General features: G+C 35.9%; 2 protein-coding genes and 1 pseudogene across 9 annotated transcripts in view, besides 3 other annotated features; all 3 read left to right on the top strand.

Moving 5' to 3' along the window:
• OR6K2 (olfactory receptor family 6 subfamily K member 2) lies at positions 11,767–12,741 on the top strand. Its single transcript, NM_001005279.3, has one exon. The coding sequence runs from the start codon at positions 11,767–11,769 to the stop codon at positions 12,739–12,741; it is 975 nt and encodes a 324-aa protein (NP_001005279.1).
• Positions 16,910–17,880, top strand: OR6K1P (olfactory receptor family 6 subfamily K member 1 pseudogene; annotated as a pseudogene).
• Positions 20,159–20,488: a transcriptional cis regulatory region, noted in NCBI's record as "candidate enhancer chr1.9296 targeted for multiplex CRISPR interference". NCBI's record gives its function as "positively regulates SPTA1 gene expression with high confidence in K562 cells {active_cell/tissue: K562}" and the evidence as "EXISTENCE:mutant phenotype evidence [ECO:0000015][PMID:30612741]".
• Positions 22,986–23,283: a transcriptional cis regulatory region, noted in NCBI's record as "candidate enhancer chr1.9295 targeted for multiplex CRISPR interference". NCBI's record gives its function as "positively regulates SPTA1 gene expression with high confidence in K562 cells {active_cell/tissue: K562}" and the evidence as "EXISTENCE:mutant phenotype evidence [ECO:0000015][PMID:30612741]".
• Positions 23,643–23,857: a silencer, noted in NCBI's record as "fragment chr1:158658352-158658566 (GRCh37/hg19 assembly coordinates)". NCBI's record gives its function as "represses an EF-1alpha promoter that drives an FKBP-Casp9 reporter gene in an ReSE screen in K562 erythroleukemia cells {active_cell/tissue: K562}" and the evidence as "EXISTENCE:reporter gene assay evidence [ECO:0000049][PMID:32094911]".
• SPTA1 (spectrin alpha, erythrocytic 1) overlaps positions 25,704–26,151 on the top strand; it is a 76,012-nt gene continuing 75,564 nt past the window's right edge. For 7 of the 8 annotated variants that reach the window (XR_921911.4, XM_047428883.1, XM_011509917.4 and 4 more), the window contains exon 1: positions 25,704–25,925. Coding sequence is in view for 6 of the 8 variants with exons in the window: in XM_011509917.4 (XP_011508219.1) it covers positions 25,902–25,925 (24 nt within the window). In the remaining 2 variants the exon portion in view is untranslated. The remainder of the gene's footprint in view (positions 25,926–26,151) is intronic. The other variant, XM_011509916.3, reaches the window with a different exon arrangement.

The following is a 26,151-nucleotide window of genomic DNA, read 5'->3' as shown; positions in this document are numbered from 1 at the left end:
CTGAAATCATAATCCTACCTCTTAGTTCACATTTATTTAGTTTGTTTTGGATGGAAAATTTATTGTACTTTTATGAAAAAAATATGACCTCTTTAAAGAAGTGAGAAAATAGAGAAAACAGAAGAAATTTGGCAAATGATATAGACAAACAATTTACAGGCACATAAACTTGAAAGTCTAGTAATTACATGAAGAGATGCTTAAAAATCTTTATTAAGGCCAAGTGTTAGAGCAGATGAAGAGACAAAGAAATACATGCACAACTGATAAGAATGTAAACTGGTGTGGCCATTTTGGAGAAAAATCTGGTAGAAATGAAGTTCAAGTGTATCCTCTGTTTTAATAATCCTGCTTCTAGGAATATTTGTCAAAGACATTTTTACACATGTTTATAAGTTGACATACCTGAAGATGTTCTCCAGAATGTAGAGTATTTGGAGGCAATCTGGAGCTTATCACGGAGAAAACAGGTACTTAACATACGCCAAATGAATAGTTCAGAGAAGCATGCAGGTGTTAAATATTATGAGCTATTGAACTCAAAGAAACAAAAATAATTCCTGTAAATAATACTAAAAGGTAAAAATAAGCAATACAATGAAACCAACACCATTTACATAAATAAAAAGTACATGGGTATGAAACAAAAGCACATGTTTTATAAGAATACATAGAGAAAATATTTGTCAAGTTAATTTAAATAGTGTATAAAAATGAGGATAAGTAGAATTAAAGGGAAATACATAAAAATATACAGAATGGAGTGCTATTTAGCCATAAAAAAGAATGAGATTCTGTCATTTGAAACAACATGGATGTAATTGGGGGTCATTATATTCAGTGAAATAAGCCAGGCACAGAAAGAAAAACTTTGCATGTTCTCACTCTTTTGTGGGAGCTAAAAATAAAAACAATTGAATTCATGGAGATGGTAGAATAATGGTTACTAGAGACGGGGAAGGGAAGTGGAGAGGTTGGAGGGGGAGTGGGGATGGTTAATTGGCATAAAAAATGGAAAGAATAAACAAGATCTAGCACGTGATAGCACACAAAAAATAAATTTCAGTATAAACTTAGATGTAAAAGTGTATTTTTCAAAAAAACACATGAAATTAGTGTTTTGATATTTGCTTTCTGAGTTGACAATATGTTTATGTCTTTCCAATATTTGTTTATGACTCTATTTTTATAATCACAGCATACAGATCTATTATTTCCCTATAAAACCGCTGCAGCATAATATTCTGTGTTATGTCTTGCATGCACCTTATGTTATTTATTTTATTCCTTATCGATGGAAATTTAGATTGTTTTCAAACACTTCTAATTTTAAATGGGGCTGCAGTGAAACTTGATATACAAATTTGAATACTGCAATATTATTGTGAAATCAATTCTTAGAAGTATAACTACAGTATCCAATATTATTCAAGATTAAAAATTGAGCAAATAATGACAAATCACCATTCCAAATATTTTAAAACACTATATCTATCCAGTAGCATTCATTGGAAGTTCCTATTTCAACACGTTATCCCACATAGTGTATACCGCTTCTTGTATTCATTGTCAATCTAATTAGGCAAAAAATACATGTATTCATATATTTAAAAATTACCAGAGAATAATAAACTGACATATATCTAACAGTCAATCGTAGTTTGTTGTTGTTGTTAACTACTTTATTATTTGTTGCCAATTATTTTCCATTGAGCTCTTTATTTTATGAATTTCAATTCATTCAAAAACAACCACATATTTTATTCTTTTATAATTATTCATAATTTAAAAATGAATATTTATACACATAATTTAGTAAAATATTGAACTTTTTAAATAAATCTAAAATGGCTGAAATTATATACATTTCCTATACATGCTTTTATAAACAACTTGAAGGCTACCACTATCTGATTTTGTAATCTATAACAATAACAGAATTCAATGTAATCATATATTTTCAACTAAATGTGTTACTATATTAAAAACTAATGTTTCCTTATAAAGTCTCATAAAACAAATTTAATACTTAAAATTGTACAGATCTTTAAATTCCAAATCTAAAAACTGGCTCAACTGTCTATTCCAAAAACCATATTCAAACCAATTACTCTTTGTCCACCTTTGTAAATGAGTTCTTCCCATTGTGTTACAGGCAGAAATCTACTAGGGTTTTCGGGATAGCTTTTGCTGTTTGCCTCCCAATCACACAACATTTTGCCTTGAATGTGGAAGTGATGCCTGAAACTTAGAGATTAACTTTGTAACCATAAGGAAAAGTCCAGGAGAATAGTTTTTTAAATCAGGAATTGAATAAGCTAAGAGCATGCCTAACTGATATAAGTGTAAACTATAGTTTAATTACAGAATTACTAAACCATTGTATGTTGAAAAACAATGTTAGCATCCAGTTGAAGTTGTCAACGTGAAACAAGTTTAGAAAAATAAATTTCTAGCTGTCTATTCTCATATGAAATAATACTCAAGGGACAAAAAAAATGCCATTTATTTCCCTAACATGTTCATTTGAGTTACTAATAGTTATTTTTAATAAGGAAACTGGAACTTCTTGAAAAAGAGCTTACTCCATATCATGGGGCAGGATAAATTTAAGAAGAGAATGTACTGTCTTGAGGGCTCAAAGGATGATTACATTAAAAAAATTCTGGAGCATTTAGGTTGGTTCCAAGTCTTTTTTTTTTAAATTAATTTATTTATTATTATTATACTTTAAGTTTTAGGGTACATGTGCACAATGTGCAGGTTAGTTACATATGTATACATGTGCCATGCTGGTGCACTGCACCCACTAACTCGTCATCTAGCATTAGGTATATCTCCCAATGCTATCCCTCCCCTCTCCCCCCACCCCACAACAGTCCCCAGAGTGTGATGTTCCCCTTCCTGTGTCCATGTGTTCTCATTGTTCAATTCCCACCTATGAGTGAGAATATGTGGTGTTTGGTTTTTTGTCCTTGCAATAGTTTGTTGAGAATGATGATTTCCATTTTCAACCATGTCCCTACAAAGGACGTGAACTCATCATTTTTTATGGCTACATAGTATTCCATGGTGTATATGTGCCACATTTTCTTAATCCAGTCTATCATTGTTGGACATTTGGGTTGGTTCCAAGTCTTTGCTATTGTGAATAATGCCGCAATAAACATACGGGTGCATGTGTCTTTATAGCAGCATGATTTATAGTCCTTTGGGTATATACCCAGTAATGGGATGGCTGGGTCAAATGGTATTTCTAGCTCTAGATCCCTGAGGAATCGCCACACTGACTTCCACAATGGTTGAACTAGTTTACAGTCCCACCAACAGTGTAAAAGTGTTCCTATTTCTCCACATCCTCTCCAGCACCTGTTGTTTCCTGACTTTTTAATGACTGCTATTCTAACTGGTGTGAGATGGTATCTCATTATGGTTTTGATTTGCATTTCTCTGATGGCCAGTGATGTGAGCATTTTTTCATGTGTTTTTTGGCTGCATAAATGTCTTCTTTTGAGAAGTGTCTGTTCATGTCCTTCAACAAAGCTGAGAAAAACAAGCAATGGGGAAAGGATTCCCTATTTAATAAATGGAGCTGGGAAAACTGGCTAGCCATATGTAGAAAGCTGAAACTGGATCCCTTCCTTACACCTTATACAAAAATCAATTCAAGATGGATTAAAGACTTAAACCTTAGACCTAAAACCATAAAAACCCTAGAAGAAAACCTAGGCATTACCATTCAGGACATAGGCATGGGCAAGGACTTCATGTCTAAAACACCGAAAGCAATGGCAACAAAAGCCAAAATTGACAAATGGGGTCTAATTAAACTAAAGAGCTTCTGCACAGCAAAAGAAACTACCATCAGAGTGAACAGGCAACCTACAAAATGGGAGAAAATTTTCGCAACCTACTCATCTGACAAAGGGCTAATATCCACAATCTACAATGAACTCAAACAAATTTACAAGAAAAAAACAAACAACCCCATCAAAAAGTGGGCAAAGGTTCCAAGTCTTTGCTATTGTGAATAGTGCTGCTATAAACAGGGACATGGATGAAACTGGAAACCATCATTCTCAGCAACTATCACAAGGACAAAAAACCAAACACCGCATGTTCTCACTCATAGGTGGGAATTGAACAATGAGAACACATGGACACAGGAAGGGGAACATCACACACTGGGGACTGTTGTGGGGTGGGGGGCGGGGGGGGATAGCATTAGGAGATATACCTAATGCTAAATGACGAGTTAATGGGTGCAGCACAACAACATGGCACATGTATACATATGTAACAAACCTGCACATTGTGCATATGTACCCTAAAACTTAAAGTATAATAATAATAAAATTAAAAAAAAAATTCTGGAGCAAAACATAAAATAATAAATAACAATTGAAACATAGATGTTTCAATTAAAAATAAGCTTATAAAATCTATATGTCAATAAGGATACTCAAAAAATGAAGCAATTCAATTTAAATGATTTTGTCAAATAATTAATATATGTGATTTGAATTTATACAAAAAATATAACTCTTATAAATCAGTTATGTGAACCTTAAAAATATGACGAAAAGTCTATTCAAGCACATTTATACTCAGGAATAGGTAGCTAACTAAATAAATGTCATTACTTCTAGGTTTTAAAACACCTACATCCTTTATTGTAAAACCATTTTAAGACTTTCAACATGCAATTGCATCTTTTATTACTGTATCTTCCCTAAAAGCTAGAATGAGATTAGCACTTTGGACAGCCCCCTGCAAAATTCTATTCTATTAAATAGCCATGTGCTTACATGAGATTAATATATTAGACAATGATAAAGTAGATTATAAAAAACATGTAAAACTATTTTCAAGTGTTTTGCTCACAGATGTTAAAAGCCCTTTTAATGAATAAGAACAGTCTATGCTATTATCTTTATAACCTATAAGTTAAATTCATGTCAAGTTTCCTCCGGAGACATATTTTAAACAATGTTAACAATTACAATGAAAGGACTGTAAGGCCTACAAGAGTCTCCACATTTGCCTACTTTCATAGGACCACTCCGCTATTTTCCAGATTACTGAGCACCCCATATTTTATTCTTTTTTTATCCAATGCTATTAAAATTCCAGACAAAGTAAGATACTTCTTATTACCATTCTTCAGGTAAAAGAAAGTAGTTAATCATTTCTCCCTCATGGGACAGAGAGTAGGTTTTCTTGAAACATTCTCTATGACTCGGAGCACAGAGCTAAAGCAACAGTTTTAGCCCAGTAGCCACTCTTCTGTCAAAAAAGACACAGTCCAAATAACAGAGACAATGACAGTAAAGTATAGCAGACGCTCTGACATTAAACTTCTAGAGCAGAACTCTAATTCTAACGCTTACCAGTTGTGTGACCCTAGGAAGGATTCTTAACCTCTCTATACCACACTATTCTTATTTGTAAAATTGGCATAATCATAGTTCTTAAATGAGTTTAAATAGTACATGGAGTTCCTGACCCATAGTAAGGGTTTAATAAATGTTCTTTTATTATTAAGGTCATCTGTATAACAACCTAGTTTGCCTAGTTTTCTTTCAGTCAACAAATAATGTTTTCTGAAGGTATCTGTAACCACTGGTCTTTGATCTTCAACTCTTGTTATCCATATCACCTGTGGACTGCCAAACCTTCTTGGTTAATTCATTGCATTGCTGTCTTCATTATGTTGATATCACCCTCCTCATCTGAAGTCTGAAAATTCACAGAAATTTACCCATTTACTTTTCCCTTTCCCATCCAAAACACACATGAAAAAAACTAACAGGAGGAAAGCATAGGAAGAGTTGTATTCCTGAACATAATTGTGTGTGCGTTTGTTGGGTTTTAATAACAGATATTTTTGATTAAAAGTGAACAAATCCAGCACTTTAGGACCTTGACTTTGTGAATTTTATATAAGAAACCTCTTAACAGTGTTAAAAGTTAATAGAAAGAGAAGAGAAGAGCTGGAAAAGGAAACAGGGACCTTCGTTCCTAAAATGAAAGGTAAGATCTGTCTGTCAGATCCTGATTTCCTAAGACAGCACCTACGCAGAGACAGCTCTGCAGAGCATAGGAAGGGAGCACACACCCTACTGACACCAGTACCTGCAGGCAGGCCTTCTGTTTTTCATGCTTCTGATCCTTACCTACATAAGAATGTGTTCTTTGGGAGTTGAACAGAGCTGAAATTGGATCTTCATCTCACCATTTCCAAGTCAGGTATCTTAGCAAGCTATGTTCTTTCAGATGTAGTTATTTTTGGTCAAGCCTCCTCTGAATTCATGAGGGAGAATTAATTGCCCCCTTCCAGCACTTTGTTTTGATATCTACTTGGGAGATTAACATTTTGCAAAATGCAAATTTGTCAGCATTTCTTTATTCTATGGTACATATTGATTTTGTTAAAAAGGGAATCATATCACATTAATCTTTTTATTCTCAAAGTTTTCATGAATAAATGAAGGAAAGTGGAAACAATTTTGATGGGACTAGCACACAATGCTGTTAATTTGCTTTAGCCTTGGGAGACTTCCCTGCCTGTCATTTCTCTGCCTAGAAATGTCTCTGACCTCTGTGCATAAAGAAAGTAAAACAAGAGAAAATCAACATTATTAGATAAAATATTGGCCCCAAATTTCAATAGGAACTAGCAGATGGAACATGTGGAAGACCAATTGTTTTTTCTAAGGTGGGGAAAATGGCCTGGAAACAAACAGGATGTGAGTCTAGCTCCCTCCTTTCATTATCTCCTTCCCTCTATTGTATGAACATCCCTCAAACCTGGGTCTTGGATTTTAGCATTTTGATTCATTAAAAATTCAGTCCAACAAAAGGTGCCACAGAAAAAAGAAGTTTTTAAAAAGAACATTTATTCTGATGCCTACAACTCTGTGAATTGGAGTTTCCTGGCAGTAGTAGGGTTTCCCTAATTACCAGCCTAAACTGCTTTACCTAATTGGAGCCATTATAGGGATAGTTGTTTTCCTACTTAAATCTTGAGTCATCTGTGTAGAATTCCCAAGAGAGTCTATCTTCTTATTCTAGTTATGCTTAGGAAAACATACCCACATACACACATACAGAGGGAAAGAGAGATAGAAGGAGACAAAGACAGAGAGGAGAGGGAAAGAGGGAGAGAAGAATTCTACAGAAAGAGTCAGATCTATATATCACTGAATAAAGGAAATTCATCTTGAGGGACTCAGGGTAGAAACATGGCAGAAGAGCAAGAAAGTTTGTCTTAGTAGCTCTATATAACCCTTATCAAAGTAGAAAAGATAGTCTTCATCCATGTTTATTTTAACTCCAGAACCCAACAGCAGCAAGGTCAGTGAATTAACTCATTTTGGGGAATAAGAGATAGAGGAAGAATAACACAACTGTGTAAAAACAGATATCCAAATATGCCTATAGATATTCAGAATAGCTGTTGGGAAGGTTTTGAGCGAGGAGGACTTAGGAAAGAGTATTATAGGGCAAGTTAATACAAAGTGTAAAGATTTCAGTTACTAAATATCCTAGGTAAGGGGTGGGATTCAAATAGGGTCAAAGCTCAAAGGATATCTTTAAAACCAAATAAGTATTGTGATTAACTTCTGATATATTTCAGGAATAAATGTTGCAGCAATCAGGTGAGATTTCCAGTTATCTTTCGGTCATTTAATGTCATTGACATTTGCACTAGACTTACTATTACTCAATTTTGCATGTAGATAGAGTGTTCAATAGGTAAAGTTGAATGTGTTTCTTTTTGGTTTAAATCTTACTGATTATTTCTTTGTCATAATTGCATCTCTTCAAAAGATTAGGGAATTAGGTCTGGGTCTGTTCAGAAGGCACCTTCTTGAACTCATAGCCCGATTCAACTTGTAAAACCCTGTCCTGAGGGCCATAGTTAGATGTGGTGACTACTTTTAGAGACATTAAGACTTATGGAAAAATCAGATGAGTATGTAAAAACTCAAGAACACTTAAAAATATTTTTATAGGAGTATATATATATATATGTAATACACACATCATCTCTCTCTATGTGTGCACACACACACACACTTGTTAAAACTTGAAAAGACACATGTAGAACTTAGGAAACATGGAGGCAGAAATTCAGAAATTGGAGGGGAAAGGAGAGGAAGGAGATTCCTTTTAGGAATGTTCAGAGACCAGAAAAACGTATGTTACATGTTTGAAATAACAGTTTTGCTAAACTGGATAGATAATTTGCAAGTTTCAATAGCAACAGGAGACAAGGTCTCTCTGTTTTCTGCACAAAATAACAATAAATAAATTTTAGGACCATATTAAAGGAAGATGATGCTAACTTTTGTGTGTAAAAAAATAGGAGTTTGATGGGACTTAGTCATATAATCAATTAACAAATGCATGTATAGCTAATATAAATAGGAAGTTATTAATAAATTTCCATTTCTTAAAGTGTATAGAAAGCCAGACTATTATTAATGCCAGACAATAAAGGGAATTTATTATTTCCTGATTCGGTGATTAGGAAAGAGTTACCCTAGAGGATATGAGGTTGTTTCACTTTTAAAGAAGAGACAATTTGGATGAAGAAAATGATGAGAAAATGATACTTAAGTATAGATATGAGAGGAGAGTCACAAGAGGAAACTAGCTTCACAAAGATGACCTTCAGAGAATGGAGGCTTGGGTAGCCAAAAGTAAGACTGGATGCAGAAACTTCTGGAAACTCATTGCAATAGTGTATACATTATGACTAGGCATCCAATTAGGGTAAAAAGAGTGGAAATAAAAGATATTAGTGATATAGTAAAAAATAAACAAATTGTGCAGACCTTGATGATTAATTTGGTTTGAGAGTGTAAGGAATAATAGACATAAAATGAGTAAAGTTGTTATCTAGGTGGACAAAAATTTAAAAAGTCAGCAAGAGAAACTGGTTTAGTGCTGAGGGTAAGGGTGTTATATTTGTTTGCTAGGGTTGCCATAAGAAGTACTACACACTGAGTGGTTTAAACAACAGAAATTTAATTTCTCACAATTCTAGAGAATTGTTTTCTTACTGAATCTTCATATGGTTCTCCCTCTGAAACTGTGTCTAAATTCCCTCTTTATTATTATGATTATTATTATTATTATTATTATTATTATTATTATTATTATTTTGAGACAGAGTCTCACTCTGTTGCCCAGGCTGGAGTGCAGTGGCACAATCTCGGCTCACTGCAACCTCCAGCTCCCGGGTTCACGTCATTCTCCCGCCTTAGCCTCCCGAGTAGCTGGGACTACAGGTGCCCGCCACCACGCCTGACTAATTTTGTTTTTGTATTTTTAGTAGAGACGGGGTTTCACTGTTTTAGCCAGGATGGTCTCGATCTGCTGACCTCGTGATCCACCCGCCTCAGCCTCCCAAAGTGCTGGGATTACAGGCGTGAGACACCGCGCCCGGCTAATTTTGTTTTTGTATTTTTAGTAGAGACGGGGTTTCACTGTTTTAGCCAGGATGGTCTCGATCTGCTGACCTCGTGATCCACCCGCCTCAGCCTCCCAAAGTGCTGGGATTACAGGCGTGAGACACCGCGCCCGGCCGGTTTCCTCTTCTTGTAAGGACACTGGCCCTATTGAATTAAGGGCCACCCTAATTTCCTCATTTGAACTTTGTTACCTCTTTAAATACTGTATGTCCAAGTACAACCACATTCCGAGGAACTGGGGGTTAGAAACTCAACCTACAAATTTTCAGGGGACACAATTTAACAGCCTATAATAGGTGAGGATGTACGTTTGGGTCAAAGTGAGGTTTCTAAGTAAGAAAGTCTGAAGAAAATGTGGAGGTCACGGCCAGGCACGGTGGCTCATGCCTGTAATCCCAGCACTTTGGGAGGCCAAGGCGGGCGGATCACGAGGTTAGGAGATCGAGACCATCCTGGCTAACACGGTGAAACCCCGTCTCTACTAAAAATACAAAACATTAGCCAGGCGTGGTGGTGGGTGCCTGTAGTCTCAGCTACTCGGGAGGCTGAAGCAGGAGAATGGCGTGAACCTGGGAGGCGGAGCTTGCAGTGAGCCGAGATCGCGCCACTGCACTCCAGCCTGAGTGATGAGTGGGACTCCGACTCAAAAAAAAAAAAAAAAAAAAAAAAAAAAGGAAAATGTGGAGGTCGTGAGAGATATCAAAAACAAGGAATTCTGGAGTCATAATAACCACCGAGAATAGAAGGCCAATACGAGCTGATAAATAATCTTGAATAAATAAGATCTTGAAACAATAGATTCTTCTGTGTGAAAGGAAATATAGAGAAAAGAGAAAATGATCACAGAATTTGCGGTTATGTTTACACTTGGGATATAAAAAATTGAATAATCAGTGAGGAAAACCAGGATAGTGTGGTGTCAAATAGGCAAAAAAAGGAATTTCAAACATTGGGCAATTGACCTTTGGAAGTTAGTGGCAATGAAGACAGAGGGAGGCCATTAAATTTCAATGAGAAAGTCGCTAGTATACCTTAAGAAAAGAGATATGGGAAGTTGAGGGTGGATACATTATTCAGAGATTCAAAGAAGAATGAATAGAATAAATACCTTTTACACATTGGAAAAATAATGCAGTTGTTACAAAGGAGGGAAATAACCTGAATAGAAACAGTATTTTCTCCCAAGATAAGAAGAAATGTGCATGTTTGATTGCAGAAGAGACAAATAAAGTAAAACAAAACATTCTGAAAAGAGAATAAATTAATAGGACAATTTCCTATAATGTGTGTAGTTTAAATTGTATTCTACAGGGCACTGCAGCTCTGCCCTTCCTTCTAACTACCACCATTCAATTGTACCAGAGCAAGTGTACAACTATATTAAGCATTTATTTATTAATATAGTTAGTTTTCATAAGTTACTACATTTGACCAAAGGCTTCTGGTACAAAACCCCTTTAAGATCTCCTTACCAAGAAGACGTAGAAGAGAAGGAAAGGAAGGAGATAGAATAGACTATCTTATAAAACAAGGTAAAATAACTTATGATTATTTATATGGCTTTTCTTCTCCAAATATTCTCTGAATTATGGTTAAGAATATACATATGAAGAGAGGAAGAGTTATTAGAGAAAGAGGGTTGAAAGAATTCACCAGTAATGGTTTTGTCTTTATTATAAAAATATGCCAATCAAATCATATGCCAAGAATCCAATAAACTGGGAGCTTGAAGAAAAAATATATGGAACAATGTGGGGAGATTATTAGGGAATCAATAAGATTTAAATATCGAAAAGAACGTCCTCTTAATTATTGATTATTCCTTCAATGCTCTGTCTAATTCTATATTCGCCTAAACAAAGTTGTTTTAAAATATAGTCCCCTGACCAGCAGGACCACCATTGCCTGAAAATTTGTTAGAAATGAAAATTCTTGGGTCCTACCTCAGAACTACAGATTAGGACCGAACTCTCAGTATGAGGACCAGCAATATGAGTTTTAACAAGCCCTCCAGGTGATTCTGATGCATGTTAATATATCTGAGAATCTCACATCCAAAATATTGACTGTGCTTTCTGACTGGATTTTTTCCACACTACAACTTAAGTCGTAAGCAACTATAGAATATGGACCATGTCCTTCTTCCTTGTCTTCCTCTCTATCCCCATTACAGGGCTCTATTCAGACGCTGGCTTCTTGTAAGTGTATTCCTTTATCCAATAGTAGATGCCTCCTAGAAGGCTTGAGTGCACTGGAAATTGAAACTCTCACTTTCAACTTGGAGATGGAGAGCCCCAATCGAACCACCATTCAGGAGTTTATCTTCTCCGCTTTCCCTTATTCCTGGGTTAAGTCTGTTGTCTGCTTTGTTCCACTGCTCTTCATCTATGCTTTCATTGTTGTTGGAAACCTGGTCATCATCACAGTGGTCCAGTTGAATACTCACCTCCACACTCCCATGTATACTTTTATCAGTGCTCTTTCTTTCCTGGAGATTTGGTATACCACAGCCACAATCCCAAAGATGCTGTCTAGCCTGCTTAGTGAGAGGAGCATTTCCTTCAATGGTTGTCTCCTGCAGATGTATTTCTTCCATTCCACCGGCATCTGTGAGGTGTGTCTCTTGACAGTTATGGCCTTTGACCACTACCTGGCCATATGCAGCCCTCTTCATTATCCCTCTATCATGACCCCCAAGCTATGTACCCAACTGACTTTAAGTTGCTGTGTTTGTGGCTTTATCACACCCCTTCCTGAGATTGCCTGGATCTCTACACTGCCATTTTGTGGTTCGAATCACCTTGAACATATCTTCTGTGACTTCCTCCCAGTGCTGCGTCTGGCCTGCACAGACACACGAGCCATCGTCATGATTCAGGTAGTGGATGTCATTCATGCAGTGGAGATTATTACAGCTGTGATGCTCATCTTCATGTCCTACGATGGTATTGTGGCTGTAATTCTACGTATTCATTCAGCTGGAGGCCGCCGCACAGCATTTTCCACGTGTGTCTCTCACTTCATTGTCTTTTCGCTCTTCTTTGGCAGTGTGACTCTCATGTACCTACGCTTCTCTGCCACCTACTCTTTGTTCTGGGATATAGCCATTGCTCTGGCCTTTGCAGTTTTGTCTCCCTTCTTCAACCCCATTATCTATAGCCTGAGGAATAAAGAAATAAAAGAAGCTATAAAAAAGCACATAGGTCAAGCTAAGATATTTTTTTCCGTAAGACCAGGGACCTCAAGTAAGATATTTTAGTTGAGATTCTGTATAGTTGCTGGTTCCTCTTCACCTTCAGCTCTCAGCAATCTGTCTTTTCCTATCAACCTTCTATTCAAACTGGTCTCCCAAAGCTCACCAAACCAAACCAAACCAAACCAAACAAAAGGAAACAAATTCAGCAATAGCTAACGTCAATAACTTCTATTTAATCATTACTCAATTAGACATATTTTTCAATCTGACTTTATTAATTACAGTTTCTGCCACTCAAGTTATTCAAAGTAAATTCATTTTGTTGAAATGTTCTGCATAAACATTTACTTTAATTTTAAAGCAATTAAAATATTTGTCTGTAAGACCTGGTAATTTAAAAAGTATCCTTCATAAGACTAAGTTTTATCCATGGTGCCTCTAGCTTCTATAGTTGAAGAATGACTCAAATTTTTAAATTGAGTATCCAAGTATTGATCAATAAGCAATTTAATTGTTACTCATTAAATAATCAGTTTTTTCATGATACATAAAAAACCTAGATGTTGCATTCACTGTGATCAAATGCATTGTACATATTAAGTAATAAACATAAAAATGATCTGTTGAATGAATAAACCAACATACCGCCATGCTGCATTCTGATTGTTTTAGACAATCGACCAATTGTGTTAGGCAACAACTCTTTCAAGCTCTCTTCTTTGGCTTTTAGGATTCCAAACTCTTTTTTATCCTACCTCATTGACGCTTCTTTCTCTTGCTGAGTCTTCATGTCATACATGCTTTATAAAAAGCGATTTTTCTCCAGGGCTCATGATTCAGCTGGGATAGGATAAAGCTTATTACTGTGCAAATGTTAATAAATTTTTACCCTTCTCTAGCCTGCCAACACAAATCCTATAGCTGTCAGTGTGATTTCCCCACTTTTGTGCCACAATCCTTTCATTACTTTTACTCCTAAATCTTATGATATTTTAAAATAAAATGGAAAGACAAGTTAAGGAGAGATCTTATAAAAAGGGTTAATGCTATCAAATAAAAGTCTGGGATACAGAAGAGAAGAAAAATCAGAGAAAACCTGTTGATTGTGGGTGCAGGGGGTCTGGGTAAGAGAAAGGCTTTAAGGGATACTTGGTTGAAGAACAAGAGGACAGAGGGAAAAAGAAATGCAAGAAGTATCACTGAGTTTAAGTCATGTATTTTTAATATTCTTCAAGTGACACGAAAAATGTCATTATTTTTCCAATTTATTGACTAATTGATGCTGTTGTAAGTGCAATATTTTTACAGAGCTGATCTACATAAAGCTCCATTATGTGAAAGGGTCACACCATTTTTTCTCTGTCCTCTCTACTTTTAAATTTTTCAATACATAATCATTTCCTAAATATTATCAATATCCCTAAAAAATAATATAGCTAACACTACCTGTCTTACATCCATACTTTCTCAACTTCAAGCTTCTTTCCCTACTGCAAACTGAGCTGTTCTTACAACTTAAATCTGATTGCTTTATTAGCCTGCCTTAAAAACTTCTGTGATTAAACATACCTTCATTTCAAATTATGAACATAAAGTAATTTTCCTAGTTCTCTGTGTGTGTGTGTGCATGCATGTAATAAAAAAAAATTCCAAGCTGTGGGAAAAACAAGGGAAAATAAAACAGAGAAAAAAAGTTCATCGTGTGTTGATGTTCCTGTTACCTTGTAAATGTGCTCTTAGTGAATACACAGGATTAAGGAAATATATGCCTTCTGGCCTGGAGAGGACAGAAACTGCTAACTTATTCCCTGTTAATTTTAAATATATTTATTTTACCTAACATTGCACTGCATTTATTAATCAAATTTTTACTAGTAATAATAAAATACCATATGTGATGTTTAATTGAGTGTCAACTTGATTGGATTGAAAGATGCAAAGTATTGTTCCTGGGTGTGTCTGTGAGGGTGTTGCCAAAGGAGATTAGCATTTGAGTCAGTGGACCGGGAAAGGCAGATCCACCCTCAATCTGGGTGGGCACAATCTAATCAGCTGCCAGTGCAGTCAGAATAAAAGCTAGCAGAAGAACGTGGAAAGACTAAACTGGTTTAGTTTTCGGGACTACACCTTTCTCCCACGCTCTATGGTTCTTGAACACCAGACTCCAAGTTTCTCTTCAGCTTTGGGACTCGGACTGGTTTCCTTGCTCTTCAGCTTGCAGATGGCCAATTGTGGTACCCCACCTTGTGATAGTGTGTCAATACGCTTTAATAATACATCTATCCTATTAGTTCTGTCCCTTTAGAGAACCCTGACTAATATACCTAGTATATTCACAATTGTAATTATATTTATTGATAATAATATTAATGCAATTTTCCACTTATTGGGCACTCTTCACTTTTAAGACATTGTCATACACACACACACATACACATACATTACTTTATAGAAATTCTTTGCAATAGGTATTAATATCAGTACTGCTTTAAGAGGGAGGAAACTATAGCTAATAGGGCTTAAGCTTTTGTCCAAGGATACACATTTAGTAAGAAGCTGAGTTATAATTTGAACCCAGGTCTCTGCTTGTTCAAAAGCTTTTCTCTTAACTACCATGCTACATTTTTAAATATTCTAGCTATATTCTTGAGGAAATAGAGAGATGTATTATCTAACATTCTTTGGAGACTCCGAACCAATAGGATATTTATCTATTTATCTATAAAAATATATTATAAATATTGGCTCATATGCTTATGGAGACCACAGACTTCATGATCTGCTGCCTATAAGCTAGAGAATCAGGAAAACTTGTGACATAATTTAACCTGAGTCTGAAGGCCTGAAAACAAGGGAAACTGATAGTATAAACCCAGGTCCAAATCCAAAGGCCTGAGAATCAGGAGCACCCAGTGTCCAAAGGCAGAAGGAGATGAACATCCCATCTCAAAACAAAAACAAATTTGCCTTTCCTTTACCTTTTTGTTCTATTTAGGGTTTCAAAGGATCAGAAGAGGCAGTAAATCCTTGAGTGATGTTTACTTTTTTCTTAATATAACTTAAATACTATGATGTAAAATTAACAATTATTAAATATTGATATAAAGCAATGTGTCTTATGTTATATGATAAAAGTAAGAGAGGAAAGAAAACACATTTGCTAATGTGTGTGTATATATATGTGTGTGAGTATATATAAACATGTTCACAACAAAATAAGGAGGAAACACTCCTGGCAATTATAATTATAGTTTCCATTTTTATAACTAGTCATGTTATCATAGCTAGTATTTATAACTACCTTCTCCTACTACTCATTCTGTATTCACTTTGCCTTCATCAAGCACATCTATTGGTCATAGTTCCTTAACTGATATGGTGACCCGAACATTAATTCCTCAAGGATCTTGGTCATTAGTAGTCCTTTCTGGATTGTGGTGTTGTAATTTTTTATTGTCCTTAATCACAGGGCACGGAAATACTAAAAGACGTGCTAAAGAATCTCCTGTGTACCAGACATACTCTTCCTTCCCTTCACTGTGGAATCTATGGAATAACAGTCCAATTTCAAGCATTTCCTCTGCTTTTGGTGGGTCATCTTTTGAGCCATCTTTCAACCAATCAATCAACCAACCAACCAACCAACCAACCTATTGCATCCCTTTCCTACTCCCTGAGCTGGAACATTAAATTCAAAATCTCTGCTTAGTGAGCCCATATCAATAAATTTAACTTGATCCAACTTTATGTTCCTTCCACTATTTTTACATATCCTTATTATCTATTCTCATATATGTTCTCTAGATTTCTTTTCATATATGTTCTCTAGCTTTCTCCCACTTTCCTGACAACCTGCATAACTCAGCAGAGGCAGCCGTATTCCTCCTAGGTACACAACTCCATTGACCTGGGAACCTCACCCCGATCCCCAACAGCAGCCGCACTAGACCCACCCAGGGAGAGTCTAAGCTCATACACACCTAGATTTCTTTTCTTTTTTTCTTTTTTTTTTTTTTTTTTTTTTTGAGACAGAGTCTCACTCTGTCACCCAGGCTGGAGTGCAATGGCACGATCTCAGCTCACTGCAACCTCCACCTCCCGGGTTCAAGTGATTCTCCTGCCTCAGGCTCCTGACTAGCTGGGATTACAGGCGACTGCCACCATGCCCAGCTAATTTTTGTAATTTTACTAGAGATAGGGTTTCACCATGTTGGCCAGGTTGGTCTCGAACTCCTGACCTCAGGTGATCCACCCGCCTCAGCCTCCCAAAGTGCTGGGATTATAGGCATGAGCCACCGCGCCCAGCTGGCTTTTGTTTTTTATCCTTCTGCTCCTCATTTACCTATTCACCATCATTGGTAGTCTTATGGTGTTCTTTGCCATCAAACTGGATTTCTGCCTGCACAGCTCCTTGTATTTCTTCATCAGTGTCCTCTCCTTCCTAGAGATCTGGTATACCACCATCACCATCCCCAAGATGTTCTTCAACCTAGCCAGTGAGCAGAAGACCACCTCCCTGGATGGTTGCCTATTGCAGATGTATTTCTTTTACTCCCTCGGCATCACTGAGGTTTGCTTGCTCACCACCAGGGCTATGGACAGATACCTGGCCATCTGTAATCACCTTTGCTACCCCACAGTCACGACACCTTAGCTCTACACTCAGGTGATTCTAGGTTGTTGCATCTGTGGCTTCTTCACGCTGCTCCCTGAGATTGCTTGGATATCCACACTGCCATTTTGTGGTCCAAATCAAATCCACAACATTTTCTGTGACCTTGATCCTATCCTGAATCTAGCATGTGTAGACACTGGCCCAGTTGTTTTAATCAAGGTTGTGGACATTGTACATGCTGTGGAGATCATCACAGCTATAATGCTTGTGACTTTGGCTTACGTCCAAATTATTGCAGTGATCCTAAGAAACTGCTCTGCTGATGGATGCCAAAAGGCATTTTCTACCTATGCTTTCCACCTTGCTATTTTCTTAATCTTTTTTGGAAGTGTAGCCCTGATGTACCTGCTCTTCTCTGCCAAGTACTCCTTTTTCTGGGACACAACCATCAGCCTAATGTTTGCAGTGCTGTCACCGACACAATCATCTGTAGTCTGAGGAATAAAGAGATAAAGGAAGCAATAAAAAAGCACATGTGCCAATCAATGATATGCACACATCATGTCAAATAAGACCAAATACACACCTCTTAATTACCAAAGAATATTTATACAAATATTTACATTAATACGTTCAGTGTGTTTGTTGCTGCTGTGCTTCCTTTTTTGGTGTACAGGTAGTAAATGATGTTTAGTTGTTCTTATTATCTCTGTGGACTTAGTAAATGTCCTCAGAGGTTGATTAACTATAGAATTCAAAGAAAGTAAGATAAAACTGTACACAGGTCCTTGGTTTATTATTTTTTGAATTCAGTGAGAGGTATAAAATATTGTCTCTCCCCTGAGGTCTTCTCCAGCCTATTCATAGAGCAGTAAACACACATTTCTTTGTTTCTATAACACATTGTTTGGACCCTCTATTTGGCATGATTTTTATACTTTCTTATGTCACAGTTTATATATCTTATGTTTTTCTAATTTGTATGCTACTTGAAAGAAGGTATCTTACTTTGTTTATCTCCACATTCCCAATGCTTAACAGAATGCTTTGCCTGTAGAAACTCTCTATAATAGTTTGCTGAATGAGTAAATGAATAATTAGAGGCAGCCTTTATCTCTTGAAGCTATACATTATAGAAAAGGAAACTCAGACTATTTTCATATTCAACAGAAAATGGCAGGGATAGGGGAGAGAATGTGTAAAGATAAGAAAGTATATTTTCACTTAGAGACAATTTTTTTTCATTAAGACAGAATCTTGCCCTGTCCCTCAGACCAAAGTGCAGTGGCACAATCTCTGTTCACTGCAACCTCAGCCTCCCTGGGTTCAAGTGAACCTCATGCCTCAGTCTCTTGAGTAACTGGGATTACAGGTATTCGCCACCACGCCCAGCTAATTTTTGTTTTGCTTGTTTGTTTTGTTTTGTTTTGTTTTAGTAGAGACGAGGTTTCCCCATATTGCCCAGGCTAGTCTTGAACTCCTGATCTTAAGTCATCCACCTACTTCAGCCTCCCAAAGTGCTGGGATTACAGGCCTGAGTCACAGCACCTGGCCCACAGAGACAATTTTTAATGGTAAAATGAAGCTATACAACAGTTAATCCACTTAGATTTGTATGACTGACATAAACCTAGATGTTAAATGGGGCTTTCATTAATATCTTGAGACTCTAGTACCATAAACATAGTAATTAAACTTCATAGTTTAGTCATGACTTTGAAGGCAATGATACATTTAGTTCCACACTTGGCTTTATTTCCTACTTGCCTCTATTCAAATGAGAAATTATATTCTTCCATCGAGCTCTTTTTAAGTTTATTTCCCTGAGTGGGACCACATCACCAAGTATGCTGGTTTTGTAAAGCTTCTGAAAATTTAGGCTTAGATAATTCCCTTCGGGGTTGCTGTAATCAGAGATAATTATTAGTGGACAGGAGCATGAAGCAATTTTATGCAAGATATGCTAATGATACGTTGCAAAATTGTTCTTTAAGAGATAAGTACTTAGCTTTATGAGAAATTATCCCATATCAAATCCCTGTCCTTTACATTCTGGTTTTGAAAATTGAATGATTCAGAATGAAATATATAAATTTAAAGGCTTAAATATATGTGGTTGACATTATTCAAATCAGTTTACAATAATAATTATTTTACTATGTAGACTTACATGCAAATGCTTTTTAGTCTGCCACCTAAATTGGGCCATATAATGATTTTCTGGAATAGGGATTAGTCATTACTGTACTTATTATATGCTTAATATATTTTAAGTAAATTTCCAATAATCATCTGATCATTAAATGCTGGAACCAGAACTTAAATCAGTGTATGTTCTGTTGGCCTAAGCTGTCTTCCAATTTCAATTACATAGTTAATTGCATTAAAGAAAACCATGGTTTTAGGGTTTTTCTTACTCAAAGCAGTAAAACCAAATAAGTCAACAGAAAGATAATAAAATAAATAAGAAAGTGAGAGATGATCAAGATAGGAAAAGAAAAGAGTTCTATTTCATTGATTAGAGAATTATAAATGAGCAATATATACATCTGATAACTTATACATTGCTCAAGTTTGCAGTTCTGTAAGCAAAGAGTCAAGGGACAAATAACCTTAGAAGACCTAAAGTGATAAATCAAGGTGGCTACAGTAAACTGCAAAAGGCCTTGTAAAATTTTTTGAATGACATTATCTACTGTTCTAACTCATTTATAAGTCAAAATTGGAGGAATTTTAAAATAAAAACTATTTCTGGAGAAACACAAAGTAAAAATTTAAAATAATAAAAATTTTATGAGAAAAATAGTTTTACATTTAAGTTAAAATATTTGTCTTTATTGGTAATCAGCAGAAAAAGCTGAACTCCAAAAGATCCACAGAAAACAGGTAGGGATTTTAGTGATTCCAGTTGAGAAGACTTTAGAATTTTTGGATATAAAGCATCTCTTTAAGTTTCTGAGTCTAGGAGATCAAACAGATCACTTTGCTCTGATGCCTAAACAGAGGCTGAGGCAAGCTGTTCAGTGCTGATTAAACTGTCATGTAAAGTACAGACCCTCCCAGAGGTGATAACCATGGCCAAATACAGCAGCCCTCCAAATTATTCCTGCCCTTGTAAAGTGGTGTAAAATATATCTAAATATATAATTCTCATTTTAAAATCTCTCTAATTTTTGACTTCTAAATGGGCCAGAGCATTTAGATAATACAATTCAAAAAATAAAGTTTGTTTTTTTTTTTCACTTCAGGTCCTCTAAGATTATTTACCCCTTAACTTTATTTGAAAATTTACTTATTACTCAAGTTCGTAATTCTCTAATAAAAAATAGAACTCTTTTCCAATTTTTTCTTTAAATAATCTGTCTGTAACAAACCCTAGTGTCTCCTGTAAACTCTCAGCACCAATGTATATAGCATAGCATGCAGTTTTTATTCATTTTATTTTATTTATTTTACTTTAAGTTATGGGATACATGAGCAGAACATGCAGGTTTGTTACATAGGAATACATGTGCCACGGTGGTTTGCTGCACCTATCAACCCATCATCTAGGTTTTAAGCCCCGCGTGCATTAGGTATTTGTCCTAATGCACTCCCTCCCCTTGCCCCTCACCCCATGACAGGCCCCAGTGTGTGATGTTTCCCTTCCTGTGTCCATGTATTCTCTTTGTTCAACTCCTACTTGTGAGTGAGAACATGCAGTGTTTGGTTTTCTGTTTCTTTTGGTTTGCTAAGGATGATGATTCCCAGCTTCATCCACATCCCTGCAAAGGACATGAACTCATTCTTTTTTATGGCTGTATAGTATTCCATGGTATATATGTGCCACGTTTTCTTTATCCAGTCTATCATTGATGGGCATTTGGGGCATGCAGTTTTATAGATTGTACTTCCTTTTATACTTCCATGGTATTTTCCATCCATTTTTTTTTTTCCTGAGTCCTTTTAAATAAGGGTCTCTATATGATCAGAGCCAATGAATATTCTTGGGAGATTGTAGAAGTAGAAGAAGAAAGTCAGAGGTCCAAGCGTTAAACCACCAAGGTATAAGACTTTTCCATCATGCCCTTTCTTCTATCTCAGCGACATGCCTTGTTATGTGCACTAATAATCATAAACAATGCTTAGAGACTGGAGAATCAATGTTAGTTTCAAGGGACTTTGAGTGCAGGATGGGACTGAATTTTAAGTCACTAAATGCCAGAGCAGCAGCCAGAGTACTGTCAGAGCAAACTTTACATGAATCTCTGCTGCCTACAATGATGGAAAACTCAAGGAACTCAACAGTTTTTATGTGTCAAAACCTTCCCCTGAATGTCTCCTGTGTACTTCCATATTGCAGTTTTGCTCTAAAGACTATGATTCTGGCCAGGTGCGGTGGCTCAATCCTGTAATCCCAGCACTTTGGGAGGCAGAGGCAGGTGGATCACCTGAGGTCAGGAGTTCGAAACCAGCCTGGCCAACATGATGAAACCCTGTCTCTACTAAAAATACAAAATTAGCCGGGTATGGTGGTGCATGCCTGTAATCCCAGCTACTAGGGGGGCTGAGTCAGGAGGATCACTTGCACCTGAGAGGCAGAGATTGCAGTGAAGTGGGATCGTGCCACTGCACTCCAGCCTGGGCAACAGAGTGAGACTCCAACTCAAAAAACAAAACAAAACAAAACAAAACAAAACAAAACAAAAACCAACCAACCAAACAAACAAACACTATGATTCTTATACACTTTTTTTTCTAATGTGGTGAGAAACAACATGAGATCTATCCTCTTAACACATTTTGAAGTGTACAATACTGTATTGTTAACACTTATACAATGTGTTGTACAGCACAGCTCTAGAATTCAATCATCTTTCATGGATAAAACTTCATACCTACTTAATACCTATTTTTCCTTCCCTCAGCCTCTGACAAGCACTATTTACTCTGTTTCTATGAGTTGGACTATTTTATATACTTCCTATAAGTGGTATCATGCAGTATTTGTCCTTCTGTGACTGGCTTATTTCACTTAGCATAATTTCATCAAGGTTCACTCATGTTGTCATATGTGACAGGATTCCATTTGTTATTATGACTGAATTATTTCAATTGTATGTACATGCCACTTTCATCAGTCATAGACATTTCAATTGTTTCCATTTCTTGACTTTTGTTAATAGTGCTGAGATAAACATAAAAGTGCAAAAGTGCAAATACCTCCTTACAATCCTGATTTTAATTCTTTTGGCTGTATACCCAGAAGTGGGACTGCTAGATTGTATGATAGGTCTATTTTTCGTTTTTAGGCAATGCTACACTGTTTTCCACAGTGGCTGCACCATTTTACATTTCTATCAACAGTGTACAATTGTTCCAACTTCTTCATATTTTCAGCAATACTTATTTTTCTATTCCTTTGAGAGTAGCCATCCTAACAGATGTGAGATAATATCTCAGTATCGCTTTGATTTGCATTTTCCTGATAGTGATGTTGAGCACGTTTTCTTATACCTGTTAGCCAATTGTATGTCTTCTTTGGAAAATCATCTGTTCAAGTCCTTTGCTCATTTTCTAATTTTCGTTTTTGTTATAGATTTGAAGAAGCTCCTTGTATATTTTGGATTTTAACCTCTTGTTAGATGTATGCAAATATTTTCTTCCATTCCATAAGAGAACTTTTTTTATTGCTTATTGTTTTCTTTGCTGTGCAGAAGATGTTTAGTTTGATGTAGTCCAATTTGTTTATTTTTGCTTTTGTTGCATTTGTTTCTGGTACCGTATCCAAGAAGTACTTGGCAAGACCAAACAGATCACTTTGCTCTGATGCCTGAGCAGCAGCTGAGGCAAGCTGTTCAGTGCTGATTAAACTACTATGTAAAGTACAAACCCTCCCTGAGGTGATAACCATGGCCAGATACAACAGCCCTCCAAATTATCCCCATCCTTTTAAAACTGTATAAAATACTAAATATATAATTCTTATTATATATGATAAAAGTCATAAAGCTTTTTCCTTGTGTTTTTTTTTTTCCAGGAGTTTTACAGTTTCAGGTTGTAATTTAAGTCTTTAATCCCATTTGAGTTGATTTTTGTACATAACATAAGGGTCCAATTTCATTTTTTTATGTGAATATGCAATTTTTCCAACACATATGTTGAAAAGACACTTTTATTTCCTTATGATCAGTTCTGCTGATTGGGCCATGCTATTTCTTTTTTTTTAAAATAAACATTATAGAATTAGTAAGCATTTTTACTTTCTTTTTATTGTGATGATTTTACTTTAGTTCTAGGACACATATGAAGAACATGCAGGTTTGTTACATAGGTATACACATGCCATGGTGGTTTGCTGCACCCATCAACCCGTCATCTACATTAGGTATTTCTCCTAATGCTATCCCTCCCCTATCCCACCACCCCCGCAACAGGCTTCAGGGTGTGATGTTTCCCTCCCTGTGTCCATGTGTTCTCATTGTTCAACTCCCACTTATGAGTGAAAACATGTGGTGTTTGGTTTTCTGTCCTTGTGATAGTTTGTGGAGAATGATGGTTTTCAGCTTCATCCATATCCCTGCAAAGGACATGAACTCATCCTTTTTTATGGCTGCATAGTATTCCATAGTGTATAGGTACCACATTTTCTTTATCCAGTCTTTCACTGATAGGCATTCAGGTTGGTTCCAAAGGGCTAATATCCAGAATCTACAAGGAACTTAAACAAATTTACAGGAAAAAAACAAATGACCCCATCAAAAAGTGAGCAAAGGATATGAATAGACACTTCTCAAAAGAAGATATTTATGCAGTCAGCAAACATATGAAAAAAAGCTCATCATAACTGGTCATTAGAGAAATGCAAATCAAAACCACAATGAGATACCATCTCATGCCAGTTAGAATGGCGATCATTAAAAAGTCAGGAAACAGCAGATGCTGGAGACAATGTGGAGAAATAGGAATGCTTTTACACAGTTGGTGGGAGTGTAAGTTAGTTCAACCATTGTGGAAGACAGTGTGGCAATTCCTCAAGGATCTAGAACCATAAATACCATTTGACCCAGCAATCCCATTACTGGCTATATACCCAAAGGATTATAAATCATTCTACTATAAAAACACATGCACACATATGTATATTGTGGCACTATTCACAATGGGCCATACTATTTCTTTGGTCACAAGGTTATCACATGTTTGGCATTCTTGCTAAGATGATTCTGGAACAGGGAAACAGAACAAATAATGTTGATGGACTAAGAGAAGATTGACTAAAAAAATAAGGAGCAGAGTGCCATGATAATCATATTGATATGGATTTGACTATTTAAATACTTTCAAACCAAATCACCATAGAATGAAACTTTGTTTTTTAGGGACTGTTTTCTCACATAAAGACGGGTATGATAATACCTGCCTCACAGAATTTTTAAAGATTAGAAATTAATGTAAATTGATCATGTTAATATATAAATATTTCATAGATGTTGATTCTTTTCTCTTAAAGATAAAATAATTTCCTCTCCTTATCCCAACTTCAGACAAATATTCCTCAGTGCATGTGTTATAGTGCAGTCTCTAAAATTATGTTCCTGCCTTTACTACTAAATTTGACTTGAATATAATGAAACTATATGGAAAAGTAAAGTAATCCAGACTTTCAAGAAGAGAATGTAAAGGACTCTCAGTTTTTCTATGTGAGATCCAAGAACAGGGGAAACCACAAATGTAGAATCAAAATCTTCTCTTGTAGATCATGGAAGTTAGATTATTCAAGCTGCATTTACACTGGAATGAAGTTTGGCATGGATAGCCCCACTGGCTTGTAGAAAGGTCTAAGAGCATCCCACTATTTTCTTTTTGCTTGTTTGTTTCATTTTTGTAAGTTAGTCTAAAATAACTATGCCTATGGAAAAAGTCTACCTCTTTTTGTTCTCCATTAAAATTAATACATACAGTAGGATGATTTATACCATATATATCAGAAGTCAGCCATATTTTCAACTTTTTTGTGACATCATTGGTTTGTCAAATAAGGTATCCTAATTTTTGTTTTACAAAATATTAATGAACACATCATATAACTTTTTTTGTTCCTTCCATTTAAATGATTAAGAGTACAACTAAATCAGATTTTTAAAGACCAAATTGTTGAGGTTAGGAATAAAATCTTATTTTGTGAAAGACTCTCTAGAAAAAGCCAGGATAATTCGTTGACTTAAAGACTGTGAAAAATCTGCAGTTGAGTTGGATGAAGTTGTTGAGCTGTATTTCCTATAAATATATGGGGTTTTTTTTCTAATTTTTCATCCAAAAACCTTACTTTCATTTTTTAAGTCTTATTGAGTAACTTTGAAAGCCAGAGCCTCCCAAAACTGCTGAGTCACCCAGTATCTGTAAAACTTAGCAGTTGCCTCAGCTGAGTATGTCTTCTAAAGATAATGTCGATTGTGTATGGCTGATGGGATTCTAGGACCAAGCAAGAGGTTTTTTTTTTTCCCCCACATACTTAACGTTTCTATATTTCTATTTGAATTCGACTGGACAGTTCCATTTGAATTATTTCTCTCTCTCTCTCTCTCTGACACATTTTATCTTGCCAGGTTCTAAACCTTTAGGAAAAATGGAGCAATTTCCAAAGGAAACCGTAAGTACATATTTCTCTTCCATGCAATTTGTCATTAATATTATTAGGAAAGATGTTTCCTTTAAACTTTCTATACTATCTTTCCCAGGAACATTAATAATTATTTGGCTTTTAACAAATAGATAATTTTACTTTTAACTATTTTTTGTGAACAATAACCTTGAGCTTATGTCTGTGCAGCACCAAGACCCAGTAATGACTTAAGTCGGTTCCCAGAGAGAATAAG

Source organism: Homo sapiens, chromosome 1, assembly GCF_000001405.40.
Source record: "Homo sapiens chromosome 1, GRCh38.p14 Primary Assembly".
NCBI classification, from domain to species: domain Eukaryota; kingdom Metazoa; phylum Chordata; class Mammalia; order Primates; family Hominidae; genus Homo; species Homo sapiens.
Note: the sequence above shows the minus strand (reverse complement) of the source record. Positions and strands in the feature narration are given on the sequence as shown.